The sequence below is a fragment of the Homo sapiens genome, chromosome 9 (genome assembly GCF_000001405.40).
Source record: "Homo sapiens chromosome 9, GRCh38.p14 Primary Assembly".
Taxonomy (NCBI): Eukaryota; Metazoa; Chordata; class Mammalia; order Primates; family Hominidae; genus Homo; species Homo sapiens.
This window is the reverse complement of record NC_000009.12, coordinates 87,856,682-87,881,394: the sequence shown is the minus strand read 5'-3', so window position 1 is coordinate 87,881,394 and position 24,713 is coordinate 87,856,682. Positions and strand designations below refer to the sequence as shown.

Below are 24,713 nucleotides of genomic sequence, written 5' to 3'. Positions count from 1 at the left end.
CTCTTCCTCCTTTATGAGATTGTCACTGGGGAGGCATGACAGTCCCTAATGTGGTCAACTGGGTTAACTGGCAAGAGTGGAGACCCCAGTGACGCCTGCTAGGATCACTGGGAAGTATGGGGGTCCTAAGTTCTACTTCATTTGCAGGGAACTGAAGCCTGAGAAGTGGGTCTCATCTTGACCTATGCAATTGGGCTTGGGCATGCAAGGAATCGCCTCCCAACAAGCCACTGCCAGGTCAGTAGGTGCGCTCTGTGTGAGAAACAGGAACTGGAGAGCAGAGACAACTGGTCGCATCAGCTCCACATTTAGGGAAAAGATTTGTTTTAGGTTCCATTCCTCCTCAAACCTGATGTTCGCCTTTCTGGATAAATGAGAGGACCATGTGGGTGTGGGGGTTCCCAGTCTCTGGTGGGCTGTGTGCATGTCTCCATCCATGCACCTCTGTTCCCTCCACAGACTTCACTGCAGGGTTATGCTGTTCATCCAACCATCCACCCACCTGCCTGCTGCAACGAGGGCGAGGCTTCCCAGTGCCAGCCCCTTGCTCCTGCTGCTGCAGGGGAAATGAGCCTCAAGGCCCTTCCTTGACAAACCCCCCCCCCGCCCCGCCAACCACACACACTTCCAGACACTGTGGTGCCCACAACAGAACCCTGGGGGCTTTTGAGGGACACCACACCTACCTCGGAAGAACTGGGCCTCTCATCTCACCTGGGCGAACCTGGGTGCCTTTTGCCTTCCTGCCTTTGTCAGTCCGTATTTTACTACAGCCAATTGCTGTTCCTCATGGTGACTGTAGAACCCTCCTTCCCGCATACCACAAGCCCCTGGTCCTCAGGCATCTCCAGGGTCCTGGGAGTCTTCCTGGGCTCTGGTGTGGACTGGAGTCACAGCTTTGGTCTCACTCCACGTTTCCTGCAGGGAAGCAGAGGAAAGGGGAAGAATTCCTTAGAAAATGAGAGTGAATTTCTCTTAGGAAGAACAGCTTTTCCCCCCATAGTCTCTGATCATCCTTAAGTATTTAAAACAAACAAATACACCCACACAGGCATTTCCCATCGTGAAGCTTAACTTCCTGCAAATATCTCTCATGTTGCATACACGTGAAATTCGTGCACCTCAGCTGCACAGCCTTATCATAGTCAATGTCTGAATGTCTCAGTAGAGACCTTGAGGTACATTTCAGTGTGTTTTCATTGTCAGCCTTTGTGGACCCCTGTGCGCTCCTGCTTCCCTAATTTCCGCATGAGGAAAACGGATGGGGGAATACGGGCTGGCAGGGGAGTGCTGCGAGTGTGCATCTGGTGGGCAAGAAAAAATGATCATCCTGCTGACAGTCTTCCTTTGGACTTCATAGTTAATCTAGAAATCTACTTGAAGAACAGTGGAAACAGTACAGATTATTGATTCTATGAACCCTTTGGTACACATAAATGCTTAGGCATCCAAATTTTATAGTTATTATGCAATTATACATACGGATTATAGGAAGACAATTTTTTATATGATAAAAAAGATAATCTTAGTTATACCAACAGAGTTCTTGGATAAATTGTTCTTGTTGACTGGGCGCAGTGGCTCACGCCTGTAATCCTAGCACTCTGGGAGGTTGAGGTGGGTGGATCACCTGAGGTCAGGAGTTTGAGACCAGCCTGGCCAACATAGTGAAACCCTGTCTCTACTAAAAATACAAAAATTAGCCAGGCGTGGTGGTAGGCGCCTGTAATCCCAGCTACTCTGGAGGCTGAGGCAGGAGAATTGCTTGAGCCTGGGAGGCGGAGGGTGCAGTGAGCCAAGATTGTGCCACCTCACTCCAGTCTGGTGGACAGAGTAAATTTATTTCCAATTTATACATATTTTCTATCACAGAAGAATTTGCTGCATAGTTAACTCAGTAATCACCAAAATCAAACAAATGCATCCTTAATTAGTTGAACAAAGATCTTTTATTGGAGCTATAACTCAAACTCAAGGCTACTGTATTGCCAAATAGCAAGTGGCTTAGGTGGAACTAAGAAACAGGAGCATAGCAAGGAAACTGGTGGTTACAGTGGGAAGTTATTTATTCACTTTATATTTACTTATGCAGCACTTATGAAGGATCAAGTACAGTGCTAAGTACCTTTAAAATGCAAATCTTCGAATACTTAAATAATAAAAGCTGAAGCTTGGCATAAATAATGTATAACTGTAGGGTCTGAAGCACAAAGGGGCATCACTAGCATGTCTGGAAAATAGAATTACTGTTAGGCATGAGTCAAACTGTAGCTCTGCATTTTGATGAATCATTCTTACTGGCAAGTTCCTACTGCATTACTTTTCACCAAAACACATTGTGCACTTACCATTTCTGAAGAGGCCATGCATATCAACTCTTTGCAGTTTCAATCAAATTTCTCCTGCCTCTTCCCCATAGTTCTACAGAACCTCTCAACTATGTGTCTTAGTCCATACAGACTGCTATAACAAAGCACCATAAATGGTGTTACAGGACCAACGGATGCATATGCCCGCTGTACAATAACAGAGCAGTAACACCAAGACAGCAAGATTTGTAGCAGAGAAAGAGTTTAATGATCACAGGGATGGAGCAAGGGATGAGTGGAGACCCCCAAACCCATCTTCCGGAGGAGTTCTGAGCTGGGGTTTTTAAGGAGATTGTGGAGGGTGAGGGATAGAAGATTGAGGTTGTTGATTGGTCAGGATAAGGAGGATGAAACCATCAGGGTGTACAAGCTGTGTTCTTCGGTGAGTCAGCTCCTGTGGGGTCCTTCAGACCAGCTGGCATCAGTGGTTCCATTCGTATGCAGGACCCAACAGAGTCCCTCACCTGGAAAACATAACATTTTATAATGTTCAAGTTGCTGCCTATAGAGCAGTGATGGGGACTGTAATCTTTTGACGAGGTCTCTGTGACTCGGAGGCAATTGGCACGAACAACTATGAGGAAAGGGGTCAGAGAGCAGCTGCCCTCATGGTTTACGCTGAACGTGCTGCAAGCTTAGCTTATTTTCATTTCTCCCTCTCCCCTCCTCCCTAATTAATTTTATAACGTTTGTAGGGATGGATTCAACAGGGTGACTTATAAACAACAGAAATGTATTTCTCACATGTGGAGACCGAGAGGTCCAGGATGGAGACACCAGCAGATTTGGTGTCTGGTGGGGGTCTGCTTTCTGGTTCATACATGACTGACTTTTCTCTGTGTCCTTGTGTTGAAGAAGAAACAACTGAGCTCCCTTGGGCTTCTTTCAGAAGGGCACTAATCCCGTTCGTGTGGACTCCACCCTCATGCCCTAATCACTTCCCAAAGGCCGCATCTTCTAATACCATCACCTTGGGGGTTAGGATTTCAATACAACAATTTAGGAGGAACACATACATTCAGCACCTTGATTCAAAGTTTAGTTCCCTAAAAACGTCCTTGTGGAGAATTTCAGAGAACCCTAGAGTAAATTTCCACAAGTGCATCATTCCATTTCCCTTTGTAACTTCTGTTAAATCACTTAGTGGCATGGGCTTGGTGGCAGAGTCATCTACTGTTATGTCTAACTCTTTTATGATATGGCAGATCTCTGGAGAGCAGGAGCTATTTTGGATAAAACGTCTGTTCAGGTTCAAGCAGCATCAAAGAACCTTGAGTTTCTGTGAACCTAGGCATTTTCTTTTCCAGGCAAGGCCCTATTAGGGTTGGAGACCTTTGAGAGAGACCCACAACAGAGACCCCCACAGCAATCCCTCCAAAGACCTACACAGAGACCCCAAAGAGATACCCAGAGACCCACACAGGGAGCCCCAGAGACCCACAGAGACCTCCACAGAGATCCCCATGGAGACCCACACAAAAACCTCCACAGAGACCCCACAGAAATTCACACAGAGACCTTCGGGAGAGACCCACACAGAGATGCCCAGAAACTCACACAGAGATCCACTAGTGACCCCCACACAGATCTCCACAGAGATCCACATGGAGAACCCCCAGAGACCCATACAGAGATTCCCCCACAGAAATCCACACAGTGACTCCCAGAGACCTGTAGAGACTTTTGAGAGAGGTGCTACAGAGACTTGAGAGAGACCCTTAGGGACTTATAGAGACCCCCACAGAGATCTCCCAGAGACCCATGCAGCCACCTCCACAGAGAATCCCAAAGAGACCCTGAGAGACCTACACAGAGACCTGTGAGAGAGGCCTCCACAGAGACTCACATCGAGAGACCTCTGACTGAGACTCAAACCAAGAGGGAACTCGGAGACTTAGCACTGAGAGCTCCCCAAGGACTTCCAGGAGACCTGGAGATGAGCACAAGGTCTTTCATGCAGAGACCTCCCACGGAGAGCGCGTCTCTCAGCACCACCCAGGCATCTCCCAGAGCTCTCTTAGGAAGACATCACGCAGCCTCCTGGACCCTCCAGAAACCTCACAGACTCCCTCAGAGACCACACAGGGAGTCCTCACACGAGAGACCTCCCTCACAGAACTTGCACAGAGACCTCCCCAGACACCTTGCACAGAGACACCAGGCAGTGACCTCCCACAGGGACCACACATGGTCACCAGGTGCTCACACAGTGACCTCCCACACCACCACCTGAGCACAGACCCATAGACCTCCTCACAGAAGCCTGGCCCAGAGCTCTACAGACTTCCAGAGAGTTCCCCACAGAACTCACCTCAGAACACACAGAGACCTCATATGGGATCTCTCCCAGAGACCTGTCACTGAAGCCTCCCCGATTAACACCTGGGGCCTGGATCTCTTCTAACCAGCCACACCCACCGACCTTGGCTTCTGATCCCTACAAGTCCAGCAGTAGGAGGGTGGGGGGATGGAGTAGAAGGGCAAGAAAAACACCTGTGTTGGGCACTGGGCTGCCAGGAGCCCCTGATAGTAGGGGCTCAGCCAGGACTTCATAAGAGCATTCTGTGCCACTGCCAGGGGACTTGCACCTGCCCTTGTCAGGGAAAGCACTTCCTCTGGCTGGTCCCCATAGTTACCCTATCAACCCCCTCATCATCAGGCAGTACCCTATCTGTAGCCATCCTCCTCCCCTTAGATCCTGGCTTTGAAGCTGGGCCCGCTTTTGCTCTAACCTGGTGGTGGGGGAGCAGTTACTCCTAATGCAGTCTCTTCTCTGCTGCTGCTGGCACTTCATCCTGCCCTATCCTCCGGGATGGCTGGAGGATGTTTCCCCAAAAGCCAGGGGAACAAGGGCAGGTTCTCAAAGTTGGTCCCTGGATGCCCCTTGTGGAGACAGGCACAGAGATACACAGAACACCAAGAACACTAAAAACCCAGGCTCCCCTCCCTCATCGTTCCCTGTGTTGCTGCAAATGCTCCATGCACTCGCCTCCCGTCCAGGTCCTGCCTGGGTGGTCCAGGGCCTCCTGTTGTGTTAAGCCTTCCAGCTGCTATAAAGCAATCTAAATTCATAAAAGTTTTCTTTCCATTTTCAATTAACTTTGTTGCCTACTTATACCAGTTTATTTAAAAGAGCATTTGTGGTCTCAGGAAAACAGAACTCAGATATAAGTTTTTCAAATTTTATATAAATTTGGAAATGTAAAGACTTAGGCTTAGCTATTGTTGCTTTTTATGTAATATTGGCACTTACTTATATAGATATTTGCCAATTTCTCTCCCTTTCCTCTTCACAAAAATTAGAAGATATGTTTAGAATTAGCTGTGAACACAGTTCAATGTGCTGTGGTAAAGAGTCCCTGCATGCCCCTCTCTGCCTGGGCTGCCCCTGCCTCCTCTCTAGGACCATCTATACCTCCCTATTCTGCAGACAGCTAAAGCCCTCTGGGCCAACTCCAGCACTGCAGACAGCATCCATTCTTAGAGGTTATAGACTGTGCCATTCTGGTGGTTAGAAGTTTTGAACAACATTCATGCTGATCTGTACAACATTCATGCTGATCTGTCTTTGTTTAAAATTTTGATATTTTGAAGTTCATCATGGAGTTTTTGCCTAAATTTGTATTCTTGGAAATATTGCATTAAAAAATTATTTATCTTGACTAGCAATTTTTTTACTCCCCTTAAATTATGCACATGACTCATTTGATTCACTGTAGTCTTTGCCCATCTGCATGTGCCTTAGTGTTCAATTTTCACATGGATAGAGCTATTCACTGTTTCATGGAAAGCATTAACATAGTGAGAATGGTGTCAGGTGCTGCTGGACACACAGACTGTGATATTGTAAAATATGTATTTGGTCTTTGACCCTGTTTCCTGGCATACAACTCTTAAAATCCTTAGCATCTCCACAGTGATGTCTTTTTGTATGTTAATGAGTTGACTGGTGGCTGAAGGCCCCTAGGTAACTTCAGGATGAGACAGGTCCTGGAAAGACCAGGGCTGGATTAGAGGGTTAAGACTTTCAGCCTCAACCTCCTGTGAGGGGAGAGGAGCTGAAGGTGAGGTGATCATCAATGTCCAGTGGTTTAGTCATTCATGCCCACATCATGAAGCCTCTGTAAAAGCCCAAAAGGTCAGGGTTGGGAGAGCTTCCAAACAGCTAAACCCTGGGAGGTTCCTAAAGGATGGTGCACCCAGTGAGGGCATGGAAGTTCCACGCCCCTTCCCATACTTCACCCTACATGTCTCTTCTCTGTATCCTTTGTAATATTATTTATAATGTTGCAGAAAATCAGGAGGGCAAGAGAGACCTCCGGGTAAAGCAGGAGAATCTTTATTGAGTGCACTCAGACCCAGCAGACTCAACGTCCAAAGACTGGGCCCTGAACAATGACAGGGTTTTGCTTATATACCTACTCATAAGTGGCACGAACACGAATGTACAGAAGCAAGGCAAAGGCAGTTAATCAAACTAAGACAGGTTCATAACTGAGGTCTACGTATACTCCTTGCTATGCAGTCCAGATGGTCGTTATCCAGACTGGTTCAAAGGAGTTTCTCAAAGACTTATCTTGCGACCCCCACCATGGCATCCAGCTGGCTGCAAGCTAGACCTGCTCAGGCATGTCTGGCGACCTTTGCTATACTGCTTAGATGAAAAAGCAGGAACCTACGATCATTAAATATAGGAAAAACAGGAACTCATAAAACTTACAGAGCAAGGAGCAAGGTATAGTTACATAGCAGAGGGGATGGGATTTAAGGGGAGGTTTACTTACACTCAAAGGAGAGATAGGAGAATGTGATCTCCTCATATCCTTATGTTGAGGGAGTGCTGGGAGAGTCTTCAGAGCACATTCCTTTGAGCTCTGGCCCTTAGATAATGTAATCAAAACTTTGCCTGTTATTGCCTTTGAGATGAGCCAGCCTAACACAGGCAGCTTGTTTTTGCCCTTTTAATTTTTATTTCTCTTTTCTTTCTTTAATATCCCACCTCAGTAATAAACCAGTAAACATAAGAGTGCTTTAGAATTTACTGGGGACAGGCTTATAGTTGCCCTAAAAGGAAGTGGCTCCTACAGAGGCTTGAAAAGGCTGGGCTCAGGGTCAGGGCTTGGCCTCCTTTGCTGTTGAGCTGATCTGGGTGGAGTTTTCCCTGGGGTTGGGTTGGTGGAGTGTGGGTGGAGCCCTTATTTTGGGGCACCTGGGGAAACCTTTGCTAGTCTGCCACATTCCCCCATAGGAGCCCATACATGCCTGGACTCAGGGTGGCACGGGACATGGGGACAGGTTTCGGCAACCACTCTTGCCCACCGATCAGTCTTGCCCACCGATGCCCACAGGCGTTGGAAGCAGGCAGCACCATGTCCATGCCCAGCTGCCAGGAGTGAATTTTCACCAAGGTCTATGTAGATGGAAGCATTCTGCTCCCTACCAAATTCATTCATCCATCCTTCACTCATTCATTCATTGATGACCAACAGATCTTCACAGAGTGCCTGCCATGCTCTGGGCCCTATTCTAGGCACACTGCTGAAGCTGCTATTCTAGAACATTCTGATTCTCAGCTCCTTCTGTCTCACCTCCCCCCACCTCGCCCCTGCCACCCATCACCCTCACTCCTTCCACCAGCTCACAGCACCCTCTTCAGCAGAGGCAGCCCCAGGAACATTTCTGAGAGACGGTGGAGAAAGCTACAGGGAGGTTCCGTCTCCTTCTCCTTCTGATCCCTTTCTCTCTCTCACCTCTGTTTCTCCCACTCCCTCTCTGTTTCTCTTCTTTCTGCCTCTCTCCCTAACTGTGTCCACCCCCTCCTCCTCTCCCCATCCCTCTCCTTTCTTCCCTCTCTCCTCCTCCTTCCCCTTCTGATCCCTTCCTCTGGTTCTCCCTCTTTCCAGATCTCTGTCTCCCTCCTCTCTGTCTTTCTCCCTTCTCTGCTTCTTCTCCGGTCTTACAAAGACACACACATACACACAGACACACACTCAGAGAGACATACACACAGAGACACACACACCCCATAGCTGTCATCGCCTGAGGTAACTGCAGCAGACATGGACCCGATCTGAGGCTCTGCGTTTGAGGGGAATGGAGAGGCCCCTAAGATGCTTCTGAGAGTGTGGCCCTCGTGCCCATCCCTTCTCATCTCCATTTGCAGCACCACCCTTTCGGCACCCCCAGCAGCCTGGACCCTGGGGCTGGGAGGAAGGTGGGGCTGTGCTGGTGCATGGGCTGAGCCCTGCTCAGGAGGCAGCATCAGGAGGAAGCTGTGTCAGGAGAGTGGTCTATGTGAGCTGGGGCTGTGCCCAGCACAGCCATCACCAGGGACTCTAGAGATGTTTGTGGGTGGATGGGATGACGTGGCCAGCTGCATCTTGGCAGGTGAGCCTCACCATCCCTCCCATGATGGCCCAGCTCAGCCACTGACCACTGGAGCCTGGGAGGAAGGAGGCTCCACTTTGCTCCGACAGACATCATTGCAGGCCTGAGGTTGTTCTGGTGAGGACAGGACCCACATGCAGAAGGCACAGGACTCTTCTCTTCACCTCCTGTGGTGAGCCAAGCCTCAGGCCAGTGCCCAGCCAGGGGCTGCCTGTGTGCCAGGCTGGTCAAGGCAGCGCCTGGAGGGGTAGAGCCTGGCTGGCCCCATGGGGGCAGACAGGCAGGAGCCTCCATCTGGGAACGAAGGCCCTGTGGGATCTGAGCTGCTGAGCCAGGCGGGCTCTGTTTCTGTTCCCATGGCCACCCCCGCCCCCAGGCCTAAGTATCAGATGCCAGGATGGAAGGCAGCCAGTAAGCACTCCCGGCTCAGCCTCCCTGACGGATTTGTCCAGGCTCACATGAGACCATACAAGGCAGTCCCAGCAAGCCTAGCTGGTACATCCTTCTCTACCTTCTTGGGGGATGCAGGCCCCTGCATTTCATTATCTCGGCATCAAAAAATAAGCGAGAACAGCTCTGCCTACTTCTTTTGTGGGGGAGAAAAGTGCTCAGAAAACTGATCCAACAGCATGGCTTTGCATTTGAGCGGCTCTGCCAACTTCCAATGATTATTTGAGGAAGCCAGTGGTGGGGAAGTTGGTGCCCTATGTTGAAGTGGGATGAGGCTGGGGCCTGGGATGGACTTGAGGGATGGCAGGTGGCAGAGCCAGTGAGGGGGGTCGGAAGGGTCCCTCTGGTAGGCCCAGTGTGACCTGTGGAAAGGAAAGAGGCAAAGCAAAGCAGCCTTCGCCAATCTGACTGCCAAACCTAAGTGTTCTATGTTGTGCCCTGCAGGGCTGGCACCATTATCCAATAAAGCCTCCATTTAAGATAAAGCAGTTGACCTGTTTTGAGAAATTTGATACATGGCAAAGCTTTCTGAGACACCATCTGAGATTTAAGATTGGAAATCTCTGCATCAGCCTGTCATTTTGTAACAACGGTCGTCAGGAAATTTCCTGTAGACCCTCCTTCTGTGATATGTTGAGGTTTCAAATGGAATTGGGTGGCAGGTTGTGGTTGTAAAGATATGTAGCCAGATTGGCTGAGGTAGGAGCCACTCTCCCAAGCTCCTACATCCCCCAGTGAGGGCTAAGGGGAGCTTCCGTTTCTCATAACAAAAGAAAAACTTCAGCCAAGTTAAATTTATAGGAGTTTAATTGAGCAATGAATGATTTGCCTTATTTGAACATGGTTCGAATAGTTGGCTGCATTTGCTTGACCAAAACTTGGTGATTGGCGCAAGTGTAGGCTATGATCTGTTTACACCTCCGCTTGTTGTAGTTCACAATGTACAGAGAAACCCTTAGGCCGAACTTAAATATGTAAGGAGGCAGCTTCAGGCTAAACCTGATTTAACACCCATAACAAGCAAACTGAAGGGACTCCGAGGCCCCAGAAGGCAGAACTGGCTGGAAATCCAGCCACCTTCAGCAAAGTGTTAAACAAGTGAATGGATGACCGATGCTGATTGGTTACCAAAGACAATCACGATATTTGGGGGACATCTTTGGTGAGGGTTTCTTGGGAGAGAACAGCCTGATGTCAGGCCCCTGGAGGAAGATAGCATCCTGCATGCCCCGAGGAACCAAGCAAAGGTCGGGATCTCAGATTCCATCCCAGCCCCACTCAGCCGTGGGCCTGCGGCTGCTCTGCTCTCCCTGGGAACCTGGACTATGGTTAGGGGCATGGGTGACAGGGAAGGGCCTGACCATACCCTGCTCTGGGGTCACGCGGACCCTCCCCACACCCTCCTCAATACTGAGACAAGGACACATCCCCAGCCTCTGCACAGACCTGGCGGCCTCACCCTGCCCGCCCCGTCTAGAACAGTGGACCCCTGGGCCTCCCAGTTCTCCCTCAGCCGCCGCCCTAGCCCTGGGGTTCTCTCCCCAGCTCCAGGTGCCTGCAAGGGCTGCAGGCTCAGGGTCCGCTTCTCCCACTGGAGCGGCAGCCAGGGAGAGGCTCTGTCCCCCAGCTTAGCTTTGTGCATCTCAGAGCTGGGAAGAGGCTTGCAGAACCAGTGGTTGTCCAGGAGCAGGAATGTGCTTCCTAGGCCAGGCACGGTGACTCACGCCTGTAATCCCAGCACTTTGGGAGGCCGAGGTGGGTGGATCACTTGAGCCCAAGAGTTGGAGACCAGAATGGGCAACATGGCAAAACTCCGTCTCTACTAAAAATACAAAAATTAGCCGGGTGTGGTACACACCTGTAATCCCAGCTACTTGGGAGGCTGAGGCAGGAGAATCACTTAAGCCCAGGAAGTAGAGGTTGCAGTGAGCGGAGATCGTGCCATTGCCCTCCAGCCTGGGTGACACGGCCAGACGCCTCAAAAAAAGAGAATGTGCTGCCTCCATGGGAAAGGCTGGGCTCTCTTTAACCTCTCCCAAAAAGTTGTGTGTGTGTGGAGTGTGGTGTATGTGGTATGTGATGTGTGGTGTGTGGTGTGGGTGGTGTGTGTGTGGTATGAATGTGTATATGTGGTGTGTGTGTGATGTGTGAGGTGAATGTGTGTTGCATGAGTGTCGTGTGTGTGTGTGTGGTATGGGTGTGGTGTGTATGGGGTATGTAGAGTATGTGTGGTAGAGTGTGGTGGGTGTTGTGTGTGGTGTGTGTGCTCTGTGTGTGGTAAGGTGTGTGTGTGGTGTGTATGTGGTGGGTGGTGTGTGTGGTATGTGATATGTGTGGTGTATGTATGTGGTGTGTGTTTGTGGTGTGTGTGTGGTGTGTGTGTGGTGTGTGTGTGGTGGGTGGTGTGTGTGGTATGTGATATGTGTGGTGTATGTGGTGTGTGTTTGTGGTGTGTGTGTGGTGTGTGTGTTGTGTGCTTGTGGTATGTGTGGTGTGCTGTGTGTGTGGTGTGTGTGTGGGGTAGGATGTGTATGTGGGATGTGTGTTGTGTGTGTGATGTGTGGTGTATATGTGGTGTGGTGTGTGTTTGGTGTGTGTGTGCAGTGTGATGTGTGTGTGCAGGTTGTGTGTATGTGTATGTGTGTGTGTGTGTGTGAGAGAGAAGGGAGGTTAGATTTGAGGCTCAGGGACTCATGTCATAAGTGGTAGCGTGTCCCTGGATGGACATGGCTCTGGCTATGTGGTGATGGTAGGGTTTGCGTCCTCCTGACCCACCGTCCTGTGATCCGGAAGCGCTGCATCAGGGTCCCAGCCCTCTTTGATGTGGGGCAGCCGGGCCTCAGCCCTCCATGGCTCTCCCTGGGGGGCATGCAGGCGCTGGGAGACTGAGCTGGGAAGGAGGGCACCTGGCCCTCTCCCTCTTCCCCTCCTCCCGAGGTGAGCTGAGGTTAGGGCCCTGCCTGGCACCGCTCCTCTCCAGCAGCTCTGCCTGTGTGTCTTGCTGCAGAGGCTCGCCCCGTGGAGGCTCATCTGCTCCATCCAGCCTCTGAGTGAGGAAGGCACTCCCTGTCCCTCAGCCATCTTCTCTCTTCTCCTACAGATGCACTGGTCTGTAAGGCACTGTCTTCTTGACCTGCCCCAACATGGGCTAAGTTTTGAAGGGAAAGGAGGCCTGCAAATTTGCAGATGTGAGTCAAGATACACCAAAATCATCTGGTGCCTTGGGCCTTGGTTCCTAAGGAATGATATCTAGAAAAATAACACAGCACTGACTACTGTGGCTTCTGGCACTGGCAAGGCAGGAGGCAGGGGCTTTGTGAGCCTGGCGGGCCAGAACTGGGCATGTGGACTTTTTATCTTATCAGGTCACAGCCACGGAGCTGGCCTGGTCCATAAGTGGACAGCTGCCTGTACCACGCAAGGTTTCACTTCTAGAGAGGCAGGGTCCTGGCAGAGGGCCTTGGGCCTGGCCTTGGGGAGGGAGAGCCCTCACAAGCAGTGCCATCCCTCAGGTGCCCAGTGGGGTCAGAGGAGGGTCCTAGCCATGTGCTGGTGGGCTTCAGAGGCCTTGGTGGGCAGGTGGGGCAAGGATCCAATTGTAGACAAAGAGCGTTTTCAGTATCCTTCCACCCAGGGGGCATAGGGGCCTTCCAAGAATCCAGGTGTGTAATTGGGGCAGTCCTGATGGGCAGGGCCAGGTCAGCTCCTCCAGGCTCCATTTTACACGCAGGGCCCAGGGGGCATGCGGACCCTTGCCCTGGATTCGGGGGGTTCCCACAGGCTCCACAGCCAAGCCCTGGGCATGGTCTCCAGTTGGCTTAATATAGAGGCAGGAGAAGGCTTCCCTGGAAGGCGAGTCTTAGGTCTGAGAAATTCCACAACAAGGGGCAATGGGAACAGCGAGGGAGATGGGCAGGAAACGGCTGCTCACAAGCGTGTGGGGACCATGTTCTACACAGAGACCCTGCTCGATCCAGAAAGCTCTGAGAGGACACGGCACTTAGGGGCTCTAGAGGTTGGCATGTGCCCTGGAGTTGTAGAGGGCACACTCTCAGAATGGATGTCTTGCTCAGGGAGCTCTTCCCCTGACTGTGATCTTAGGTCATGGAGGTGAGCCACAGGCGTTGACTGGCTGGCAGTGCCTGAAAGCAAAGCCCAGAAGAGTTTCCCCATCAACCTTCCTTCTCTCAGATCCCCCAAGTCTGTGATGACTTTGGAAGCACTGGGTCCTAGGTTCTGGAAAGGTTATTGTGCCTGGGATAATTGCTCTACGGACCAAAGCTTGGCGCCTCAGGTGATCTGCCCGCCTCGGCCTCCAAAAGTGCCGGGACGACAGGCATGAGCCACCACGCCTGGCCGAAATTCAGTGTTTTAAGTTTATCAGCCTCAAATACATATATACATGTATTTCTCAGTGTCGATGCATGGGAAGCCCAAGCCACAGAGGGGCCCCAGGCAGGTGCTCTGGTCAACAGCTCAAGATGAATGTCCACCTGACACCAGCATCTGTGGCCAGCCATGTGAGTGAGTCCTCACTGATGTCCAGTCCAGTCAAGCCTACTGATGTCTCCAGCACAGATAGAGACCTCTATGTAAAAACCACGCAGCCGAGTCCAGGCAGATGTGCAAGATGTTTCTTCAAAGCCGCTGGGTTTCGGGTGGTTTGACAAAAAGAACTGGAACAGTCTGTTCACTGCATCCGCCCCCTCAGTGGTTCCCCTGTGTCCAAACACTCCACTGGGCAAGCTTCATCACCCAAACCCTGGATGCAGTTGCTTCCTCGGGGTCTCTAACCACAGGGTCTTGACTCAGGGTTGCTGACATGCTAGTCTCTGCTAAGATGCTCACTTCACCTTCTCATACTGACTGCTGCTCTGACTGATGCCTGCATTCCCTTCCTCCTGGAGGCCCTCCCTGATGACCTCCTCTCTCTAACAGCTGCAGCTCCTTGAGGTCAGGGCCTGTCTCTTCCACTGTGGTGATGACCTGCACATAGCAGATGCTGTATAAATTCAAGTTATATCAAACCTAGGTCCCAATCAGTACAATAGATTTAGCTTTGGAGTCTCCCAAATCTCCCTGCTACCACACTGGCTATTTTCATTACGAAATCCGAAGAATTTCACTTCGGATGCCACACTTGTCATTTTAGGTCAAAAAGTGTGAAATTTTGGCAACTACTCAGGAGGGACCCAGGAGAGTCCAGCATGGCATGTGGTCCAATCCAAATGGACCTGGGCGGAGCCTGCTGGAGGCTTTGTGAGCTGAGACCCCACTGTGTACCTGGTTACCCTCCTCTGGGATATAGAGTCTATTCACTAAACACTTCCACTTATTGTTTATATTTCTTGAGGGGGAACATGAGATTGTGGAAAACACACAGATGATGAAACTATGTGCTTTTTAAGCCAGTACAATGTGGGAAGTTTTTCCTATTTATTAAGAAATTATTCAGGGATAGGGCAGCTTGGTTTAAATGCAGCCATAGATCCTCATTTCTGGTTCTCTCATCTGGTCCTCCACCTTCCAAAGCCAGCACACCACCTTTGAAGCTCAGCCTCAAACCCTGGAGTTTATCCCTTGTCCCTTGAGGACCCAAAGACAAACAGCCTTGGCAATGCCCTAGTGCCCTGTCCTGCCTCCACTGCAAAGACCATGGGTTTCCTTTGTCCTCATAGGTCATTTGTCAGTTTTTTCTCCAATCAAAGATTGGGTCAGACATAGCCGCTGGGCAACTGACATGAGATCTGCATATCTGTAAGTAGAAGAGCAAGAAGGCCACCCACTCTTCCTCCTAGTGAACCTGTGGCACAGCAGTTCCATCTTTAGAGCTCAATTACATGCTTGACTACACTACCAAACGTCAAAACATCAAAAACAGAAAGAAGCCCCTCCACTCCAAGTGAAATTAAGTTTTATTTAAACAGGTAAAATTTTTTCCATCCTTTTAAAGCAAAAAAGAAATCTAAAGTCATTCAGTGAATCAATAATGCAAAGCTGGTTATAGCAGTAATCAAAATAGTGGTAACATTTACCATTACGAAAGCGTCACAGAATTCAAATCACACTTGAATCTTCAGTGATTCCAGTGTGCATCCCACATGGCAGGGGCTGGTAGATTTCAGATGAATTCCTCCCATGTATGTGCCATCCCCAGTCAAGTCCTTCCTCTTCACCATCCATCAGCTCACACAATAGGAAGGCTGGCCAGCATGGCGATTCTGCAGTTGTTATTCTGGTCTTTGGCCATCTTTATGTAGCCACGCATGTCCCAGTCTTCACTCCAGCTGAAAGAAAAGCAGGTTTTCTGTTGCAGTGAAAGAATAAAATCCACTGGGCTGTTAACAGGAAGACCCAACTTAAACAGTGTGCGAGAGGCCACAGGCTTAACAGAAAGAATCAGGAGAGGCCAATGTTTTTGTTAATCATTTATACATTCTTGAGTCATAACCTACACATAACTTCTATCCTATCTGTGACCTTTTGCAGAACTGCAAAATCAGAGGAAGAAAAATAATTGGATGTTTTTCAGCCAGATATGTTTCAAGATTTAGAAAAATTTCAGAATGTAGCAATGCAAAGGTAAAAATATTACACTGATACCACTTGTGACAATATCCTAACTGTATAATCAAACGTTAATATTCTGTGTTTAACCTAAATAGGATAAAGAGTCTAAGACCTGTGTGCAAAATACTGATTCTAAACAAAAATTCCCTTTTGAATTTCAAATAGAAGTATTTTTGGCAGTTTATACCTGGTCTTCACCAGCCAGTATTTATCTTTATTCAATTCTGCTCCTTCATAGCCATAGCCAGCCACCAAAAGAGCAAAATCCATTTTTATACTGCTGCACTGTGGCTCAAACACTTGGGCGAGTAAAAGGAAGGCTGGGGTGAGAAGCTCTAGGAGACACCTGACAGTAACCCACCCTGTCATCCAAAGGTATAAAGGCATCTCTAAATTCAGTGAAATGACACACATTCCAGATAGAACTTAACAAGAGTATCTACTGTTATCAAGGCTCTCATCTAAAGCTAGCAGAAATACAAATTTGCATAAATCCTTTTGTCGGCCGACAAAAGGAAATAGGAGGCCAATACTATTTATTTCCAGAAAAATAACCAGTTCTACCAGGCTCATTTACTAAATAAACTTTCCCCCACTTAAAATCAGCAATATCTTTATTTACTATCAAATTGTGATAAATATTGTGATTTACTTTGATACCCTCTAACCTGTACCTCTTATTTGATTGTATTGATTAACCTTGATAATGTTTGATTTCGTCTTCCATCAAAATTTTGAAATAAAAATTTTATTCTGCTTCATCTCATTCAGTTGCTTACAGTAATTATACTAAATTTGTATAACTTGAGAAACATGAAATCTTTAGTCATATTCTGCCATCCGAGAACACAGTCTCATTCCATAGGATCATCTACTATTTTATATATTGCAGTAAATTTTATTAGTGTCTGATTTTTCAGTTTTCTGAAGTTTGTAAATATTCTATAATAAGTCACCTTTGCTTTTGCAATTTGTACAACAAAATTTTATTTTAAGCAAATCATTGAAATAGTATGAATTTCATGAAATCAAGGTGGTCCACCTTTGCTCATAACAACCCTTCATCTCCTGCCTTCTCCTTGTTTCTCTACTCTTCCTTCCTTGTCCTACAGCACTAGGATCAAAACATGTCCATGCAGCCACCTTATATTGGGTCCCAACAGAAAGTAGTCCCCTGAAACTCAAGCCAAACGCCACAGGCAACACAAACAGGCTCGCTGGGTGGTGCTGGCAAAGTCTGGGTCCAGGTCCTGTCCAGGGTGTACTTACTGAAGCAATCTGGCTCCATATGTCTTGCAAATGATTTCAAAGCAGCTACAAATCCCTAGACCCAGAAGCCCCAACATCTGGAACAAAGAGCTTATTTGAAACACGAAAATTGTTCCCTGACCTAAGGGAAGAGCAGCAGCCTCCTCAGCAGTGAGCCAATCTCTCCAGGTCTTTCCATGGAAGGCCCAGGCTCTTCCCGGCCCTGGAGGCAAGGAAAGTTCTAGTGATCTTGCAAAGGCCCCTTCATCCCTGCTGTTTGGTGGACTTTGCTTTACCAAACTGGGTACAAAGGTTTGAGTAAATTAGCACATGATCGAATCACAAGAACTGGAGCTTCAGGTTTGCAAAAACCAGCATGAGCACAGCATGGAAAGATGTAGCTTCTCCTGATGCAGGAAAGGTGAGGCCTAAAGCTCTGATCCCACACGTGAGGACAAGAGACACTGTGGAAAGTGGAGAGACTAAGAATAGACATATGAATCTAAAAGTTACACCACTGATCTAAATATATTAATAGCCCCATTTTTATATCAAAAAGGCAACAGATAACTCCCTCACATTGGTATTTCAACAGGTATATTCAACAGGTATATACGTCAGCTGCTACTAACGTATTATATATGCCTACAAATTCAAACTTTTTGACTCCAAGTAAAAATAGAAAATTTATATTGTGACTCTGAGTACCCCCATATTTATAAGTGAAAACAAAAGTTTTATGAAATAATGCTTGATGCACTCTCACATATTCAATTCTATTCTACACTATTTCATTCCCTTCCATTTCATTCCATCCCACTTTTGAAAAAGAAGGTCATGGAAGGCCTAGCAAGATGGCACATGAGAGGAGGTTAATGCCTGTGTCCTCCAGAAAAAAGGACAAAAACAGTGACTAAACAAGTTCATTTGGACTGGAGTGTTTGAGAGAGAACCCTGGACAGCAGGGAAGAGACAGAAAACCTGAGGGTCAAGGAAACCGTTAGGGGTGGCCAAATAAAGAGGAAAGCAAAATAGCCTGCTTCTGCCACACAGTCTTCCTAGTTGGGATCAGCTGGGAACAAGAAGACCATTTCCTCAGTGGGAAAAAGGTAAGCAAACAAACTCCAGCAGGCCCATTAACATTGTGGACACCTGCATTCTTTGTTGCTGGGAACTCCTTTAAGTGCCCACAGATTCTCAGCTCAGTTTAGGGAGCTGCTTGGTGTCCACAGGGCTATACTGCCCCAGAGGAGGAGCCCACATACAGCACCACCTAGACGTCCAAGCCATAGCTGAGTATATTCTGCTCCACGAACTAGTGGTCACTGCCTCCTTCCATTCCAGAGGCTACCCTGTCATTACAATAGGATTCTCCAGGAAAGCAGCTATTGCTCTCTATGTCCTAGAAACAAACTCTCAAAGAGGTTTGCCTTCCACATCCTAGTGACTGCAACACTCTTAACTGTGGACTGATTTCTTGTGCCATCGGTGTGCTCACCACCTGGGCCTGTTGCTTCCAAGAGATCCGCATCTCAAGCCTGCAGAGCAGCCCCAGTAATCCACAGCCAGGCGAGTGTTTCCAGGGGAGTCCCATCTCAAACTGGTGAACCAACCCCTGTGACTCAGTAACACACTCACTAGCTAGGCATGCAGCTTCCTGAGACCGCTGCCTTCCCCCACAACCCCCGATCCAGAGCAGGAAAACAAACTGCACATGCTCCTGCAGCCTAGGTCACCAAGGCACTCACAGGTATCACCAAAATGGATACTAGCAAAAGAAAAAAAAATGGCAAGAGAAAAGCACAGATACTACACTACTGTGTCCTCCTGGAACTAAAGCAGATGCAGCCCATCCAACTGACACCCTAAGATACATCTCCAGGTGAAAGTCTTTCTCTACATAAACTACTCTATACAATTAGAACAGGTAACCATGTCAACAGTCTCATAAATATAAACATAGGAGATAAGAACATGAAAATGCAATGAAACTTGACACCACCAAAGGTGCACAATGATTCTTCACAAAGTTACCCTAAATAAATGGAAATTTTCAAATTGCCTTAAAAGGAATTTGAAATATTGATCTTAAGAAAATTCAATGAGATACAAGAGAATACACATTGAAATCTTAATCAAATAATAATAAAAAACAAGCTATAACCTGAATGAGAAATTCAACAAAGATACAGATATCATTTAAAAAAACAAACCAACAGAAACCTTAGGAATGAAGTACTGAATGAAATAAAAAGTACAACTGAGTGCTTCAGTGGCACACTAGATCAAACAAAAGAAAGAATTTCTGAACTTGCAGACAGGACTTTTGAAATAACCCAGCCTGAGGGAAAAAAGGAGAAAGAAAAGAATAAAAGGAAGCAAAGAAAGCCTATGAGACTTGTGCCATGGCATTAAGATAACAAATTTTTGCAATATAGAAGAGAAACAGAGAGAAGAGACAGATAGACACAGAAAACTTATTTAACAAAATAATAGCTGAAAATCTCCCAATTCTTGGGAGAGATATGGACATCCATGAAGCTTAAAGGGTCCCATACATATTCAACCCAAAAAGGCCTTTTCTAAGGCACATTATAATCAATTTGTCAAAAGTCAAACACAAAGAAAAACATTCTAAAATTAGCAAGAGAGAAGCATCAAATCACAAGTAAGTAATTCTCCTTTAGACTATCAGGAGTTTTCATAGCAGAAACCTTGAAGGCTAGGAGAGATTAGGATGATATATTCTAAGTGATAATGAGAAATCAGTTAGCAAAGAGTACTGTACTTAGCACAGCTGCCTATCACAAATTAAAGAAATAAAGGCTTTCCCAGACAAGCAAATGCTTATGGAATTTGTCACCATAAGACCAGCTTGACAAGAAATGCTTAAGGGAATGCTTCAATCACAAGTGAAAGAACAATAACTACTAGTGCAAAAACACAGGACACTATCAACCAGTTAAAAGTAAATTCACATTCAAATGGAGAATTCTACGTTACTGAAATGATAGTTCTTAATAAATACCCAATACAGAACAATATAAATTGAGACAAAAAAGTGCAAATTTTGTGCATTGACAGGGGATGTGGGGGGAGTACAGCATGTTTGTGTGTGATCAAAACTTTTTATCAGCTTTAAATAGTCTATCATAACTACAAATTTTTTAATGTGAGCTACAGTGTAACCCAAGAGAAAAAAATTACACCAGATGTGTCAATGAAATAAAGGAATCAAAGCTTATCAGTACAGAAACTCACCAAACCATAAAGGAAACAATAAGAGAAGAAACAAAAGATCTACAAAACAACCAGAAAACAATTAACAAAATGACAGAAGTAACTTCTTGCCTTTTAATAATATATTTGAATATAGATGGTTTCAATTCTCCAATAAAAAGATGTAGAGTGGCCGAATGGTTTTTCATACCTGTTTCCCTAGTCCAGACACCCAAGAGTATGTCCTCCTCTTGGGCATAAGCAAATCTAGAGTTATATTTAGGGTATCATAAAGTGTGGTGAAGAGTGGACCGAGCTGGCATGCTCACAACAACCAAATTACGTTGGTCATATTTTAATCCAGTACATTGATCCACTATTAACTTGTAAATAATGTACTTGCTTTCTAGACCATTCTAGGAAGACCAGAGAAACAGACTTTTATCTATATGGTATAATCCACTGGCGAATTTCTTTTAGGATAGACCAGAGCTGATCTAGAACATAATCGTTACATATTTGGACGAGTCGAGAGAGAACCCACCAGACGAGAAAGAACATCTGGGCTGAAAGGCTCCATTAGAAGAGCAATGTGGAATGATGCTGTGCTGGCAACTGGTAGTCCCTGCCCTACATCTTTGCAGAGGACTGGAGCCCAGAGTGGGCCATGGTCAACTTATATGTTGAAGTGAAGACCTCCTTCTAGGTGTGCATGTGCTTATTACAGATATGCCACCATGCTAAGTACCCCCGGGCTACAGGAAAAAATAAGAATACACGCTGTATCCATGATCAGGAGGCACACAGGCCAGAGCACCAGCTGTGGAATCGCACAACCTGGGTTCAAAGCCTGGCTGGACCATGACCACCTGGATGACCTAAGGAACGGTCTCAGGCAAATTTGTAAGAAGAAGTGGAGACCCTGCCTGCCAGGAAGGGATGTGGTAAGGGGCAGCATCCAGTCAGGTCAGGGTACCGCGTCCTCTCCTTGGAAGCCTGCACAGCGAGCCTCGTGGCCCTTAAGGCCACGGCAGCCATGGAGAAAGTGGGCCTGGCTCCAGGTGGCATAGAGGCACTGGAGAGGCCCCCGGGGAGCCTGGCGGGATCTGGCTGGTCCTGCGCTCTGCTTCCAGGTTCTGGCCCTGTAACCCAGGGGAGAGGGCTGGCCAAGACAGGGCCACTGGGTGTCAGCCAGCACCTGGGCCAGATGCCAGGCGGGAAGGGCTCTGGCAGATCAGCCCCACACCCTCCACAGCATCACAGGGGGGCCATCCAGGGCCACACACCTGCCCCCAGGAGTGGGACGTCCCTGAGGCTAGAGAGTCCAGCTGGACCGGTGGAGGGGCCTTGCCTTTTGCCCTTTGACTCCTCTTGTAGGCACCCTCGCTGGGCTCCCGCTCACTCCTCCACACCCTGGCTCTGTCACCAGCCCCAAGGTGATGTTATAAATTCCCAGGTGCCCAGTGGACACCTGGCCACGGAGAAGTGGGTGACTTAGGAGTATCCTCTCCACTTCTGACCCTTGGTTTCGTCTGTGCACAACTCGCTCGAAATGGGCAACTCACTAAGCATATTTTGTTCCTGGTTCCGCCGCAGGTCTCAACCACGCCATCGGCAACCTGCTCTTCTAAGCGTATGTTGTTACTGCTTCCACCGCATGACCCAGCAACACCACCGGCAATGTTCTCGTCTAAGCATATGTTGTCCCTGCTTCCGCAGCAGGTCCCGGCCACACCATCGGCGACATTCTCTTCTAAGCGTATTTCGTCCCCGGTTCCGCCGCAGGTGCCGGCTATGCCATCGGCGACTTACTCTTCTAAGCGTATTTTGTTCCTGGTTCCGCCGCAGGTTCCGGCCACGCGATTGGCAACGTGCTCTTCTAAGCGTATTTTGTTCCTGGTTCCACCACAGGTCCCCGCCATACCATCAGCAACCTGCTCGTCTTGTCCGTGAGGCCTTCCCAGCTGGCTGGGCTCACCCCATGGCTCCTGCACCTGTGCCTGCCCTGGGAACCTTGGGCTGTTACCGATTCCTCTTCAACCCTCGGCAACATCTTGGGCCTTCTTTTCCAGCCAGGCGGTATGGCGCCCCTAGGAGGCTGTGTTTTCTCCCTCAGAACACGGGCACCCCACTGAGGGTCCTGCCTTCTGTGTTCTGGAGCCCCCCCTCAAGGAAGAAACCCGTGCTGTCTGCTCGCAACTCCAGGATGTTTGGACACCTCAGCCCCGTGAGGATCCCTCATCTCAGAGGCAAGTTTAACCTCAGACTTCCTTCATTAGATGAGCAGGTGATCCCAGCCAGGCTTCCGAAGATGGAGGTGAGGGCAGAAGAGCCCAAAGAAGCAACGGAGGTCAAAGACCAGGTAGAGACCCAGGAGCAGGAAGACAATAAAAGGGGCCCCTGTAGCAATGGGGAAGCAGCCTCCACCTCTAGGCCCCTGGAGACTCAGGGAAACCCCACTTCCCCCCGGTACAATCCCAGGCCCTTGGAGGGAAATGTCCAGCTCAAGAGCTTGACAGAAAACAACCAGACTGACAAGGCCCAGGTACATGCAGTGAGTTTCTACTCCAAGGGCCATGGAGTCGCCAGTTCACACAGCCCTGCTGGAGGCATTCTTCTCTTTGGGAAGCCTGACCCAGTTCCAACAGTGCTCCCTGCCCCAGTTCCAGGCTGCTCCCTGTGGCCAGAGAAGGCGGCCTTGAAGGTGCTGGGTAAAGACCACCTGCCCAGCTCTCCAGGTTTGCTGATGGTGGGGAAGGACATGCAGCCCAAGGATCCTGCAGCTCTTGGATCAAGTAGGTCTTCTCCACCCAGAGCTACCGGCTACAGGTCCCACAGGTCCCGCAAAAGAAAACTGTTGGGGCCACTGCCGCAGCTGCAACCAACCCCTCCCCTGCAACTGAGGTGGGATAGAGACGAGCCGCCCCCACCCGCTAAGCTTCCCTGCCTATCTCCTGAGGCACTGTTGGAGCTGGGTCAGGCTTCCCAAGGGGAAGGACGCCTCCAGCAAGGCAACATGGATAAGAACATGGGGATGTCCAAGAGATGAAAACAGCTGCTTGAGGGGAGAAAGAAGACATGGCAGGGCAGGTGTGGTGGCTCACGCCTGTAATCCAGCACTTTGAGAAGCCCAGGCAGGTGGATCAGAAGGTCAAGAGATTGAGACCTGAGGAGCATCTCTGCCTGGTCCCTGCACCATCTGGGAAGTGAGGAGCGCCTCTGCCCAGCCGCCTCACAGTCTGGGAAGTGAGGAGCACCTCTGCCCAGCCGCCCCACTGTGTGGGAAGAGAGGAGCACCTCTGCCTGGCCACCGCCCCGTCTGGGAGGTGAGGAGCACCTCTGCCCAGCACTCCCCCCGCACCCCCCATCCCACCGCCTGAGAAGTGAGGAGTGCCTCTGCCTGGCTAGGCACCGCCTGGGAAGTGAGGAGCGCCTCTACCTGGCCGCCTCACAGTCTGGGAAGTGAAGAGCACCTCTGCCTGGCCACTGCAGCGTCTGGGAAGTAAGGAGGCCCCAGCTCAGCAGCCACCGCATCTGGGAGGTCAGGAGCACCTCTGTCGGGCAGGCCCACTGTCTGGGAAGTGAGGAGCGCCTCTGCCCGGAACCCAACTGTCTGGTAAATGAGAAGCGCCTCTGCCTGGCCACCCCACCATCTGGGAAGCGAGGAATGCCTCTGCCCTGCCCGCCTATCATCTGGGAAGTGAGGAACACCTCTGCCCGGCAATCCCGCCATCTGGGAATTGAGGAGCGCCTCTGCCCAATCCCACCGTCTGGGAAGTGAGGAGCGCCTCTGCCCTGCCCCCGCAAGGTCTGCGAAGTGAGAAGAGCCTCTGCCCAATCCCACCCTCTGCCAAGTGAGGAGCGCCTCTGCCCTGCCCCCACACCATCTGGGAAGTGAGGAGCGCCTCTGCCCTGCCACCGCCCCTCTGTCTGGGAAGTGAGGAGCACCTCTGCCCAGCAGCAGCCACGTCTGGGAGGTCAGGAGTGCCTCTGCCCAGCTGCCCCACCATCTGAGAAGTGAGGGGCGCCTCTGCCCGGCTGCTGTGCAACCGTCCAAGTGTGAAGTGACAGCCTTGTGTGTGATCTTTCTGCCCTCCCCAAGTTTGCATTTTCGACATTAAAGTTTACTTTTATTTATTTATTTATTTATTTATTTATTTATTCATTTATTTTTAGACGGAGTCTCGCTCTGTCGCCCAGGCTGGAGTGCAATGGCATGATCTGGGCTCACTGCAACCTCCGCCCTCGGGGTTCAAGCGATCCTCCTGCCTCAGCCTCTTGAGTAGCTGGGATTGCAGGCCCGCACCACCATGCCAGGATAATTTTTTTTTTTTTGTACTTTCAGTAGAGACAGAGTTTCACCATGTTGGTCAGGCTGGTCTCAATCTCCTGATCTTGTGATCGACCCGCCTCGGCCTCCCAAAGTGCTGGGATTACAGGCTTGAGCCACCACACATGGCTAAAGTTTAC

At 49.0% G+C, this 24,713-nt stretch overlaps 3 long non-coding RNA genes and 1 pseudogene across 4 annotated transcripts in view; 2 read left to right on the top strand and 2 right to left on the bottom strand.

The window, feature by feature from the left end:
- LOC497256 (uncharacterized) overlaps positions 1 to 13,722 on the top strand; it is a 71,588-nt gene extending 57,866 nt beyond the window's left edge. The window contains exon 4 of the long non-coding RNA NR_149022.1: positions 13,622 to 13,722. This is a non-coding gene — a long non-coding RNA (uncharacterized LOC497256). The remainder of the gene's footprint in view (positions 1 to 13,621) is intronic.
- Positions 2,555 to 5,294, bottom strand: LOC124902199 (uncharacterized). The gene is made up of 2 exons (XR_007061645.1): positions 5,102 to 5,294; positions 2,555 to 2,833 (listed from the first exon to the last, which is right to left on the bottom strand). It is a non-coding gene; the product is annotated as an uncharacterized LOC124902199 (long non-coding RNA).
- Positions 13,723 to 15,103: 1,381 nt separating the features above from the next.
- On the bottom strand, positions 15,104 to 17,301 carry LOC107987091 (uncharacterized). The gene is made up of 2 exons (XR_001746819.3): positions 17,046 to 17,301; positions 15,104 to 15,493 (listed from the first exon to the last, which is right to left on the bottom strand). It is a non-coding gene; the product is annotated as an uncharacterized LOC107987091 (long non-coding RNA).
- A 5,037-nt stretch (positions 17,302 to 22,338) lies between these two features.
- On the top strand, positions 22,339 to 23,352 carry NPAP1P9 (nuclear pore associated protein 1 pseudogene 9; annotated as a pseudogene). The gene has a single exon (NR_040117.1). The product of NR_040117.1 is annotated as a nuclear pore associated protein 1 pseudogene 9 (transcript).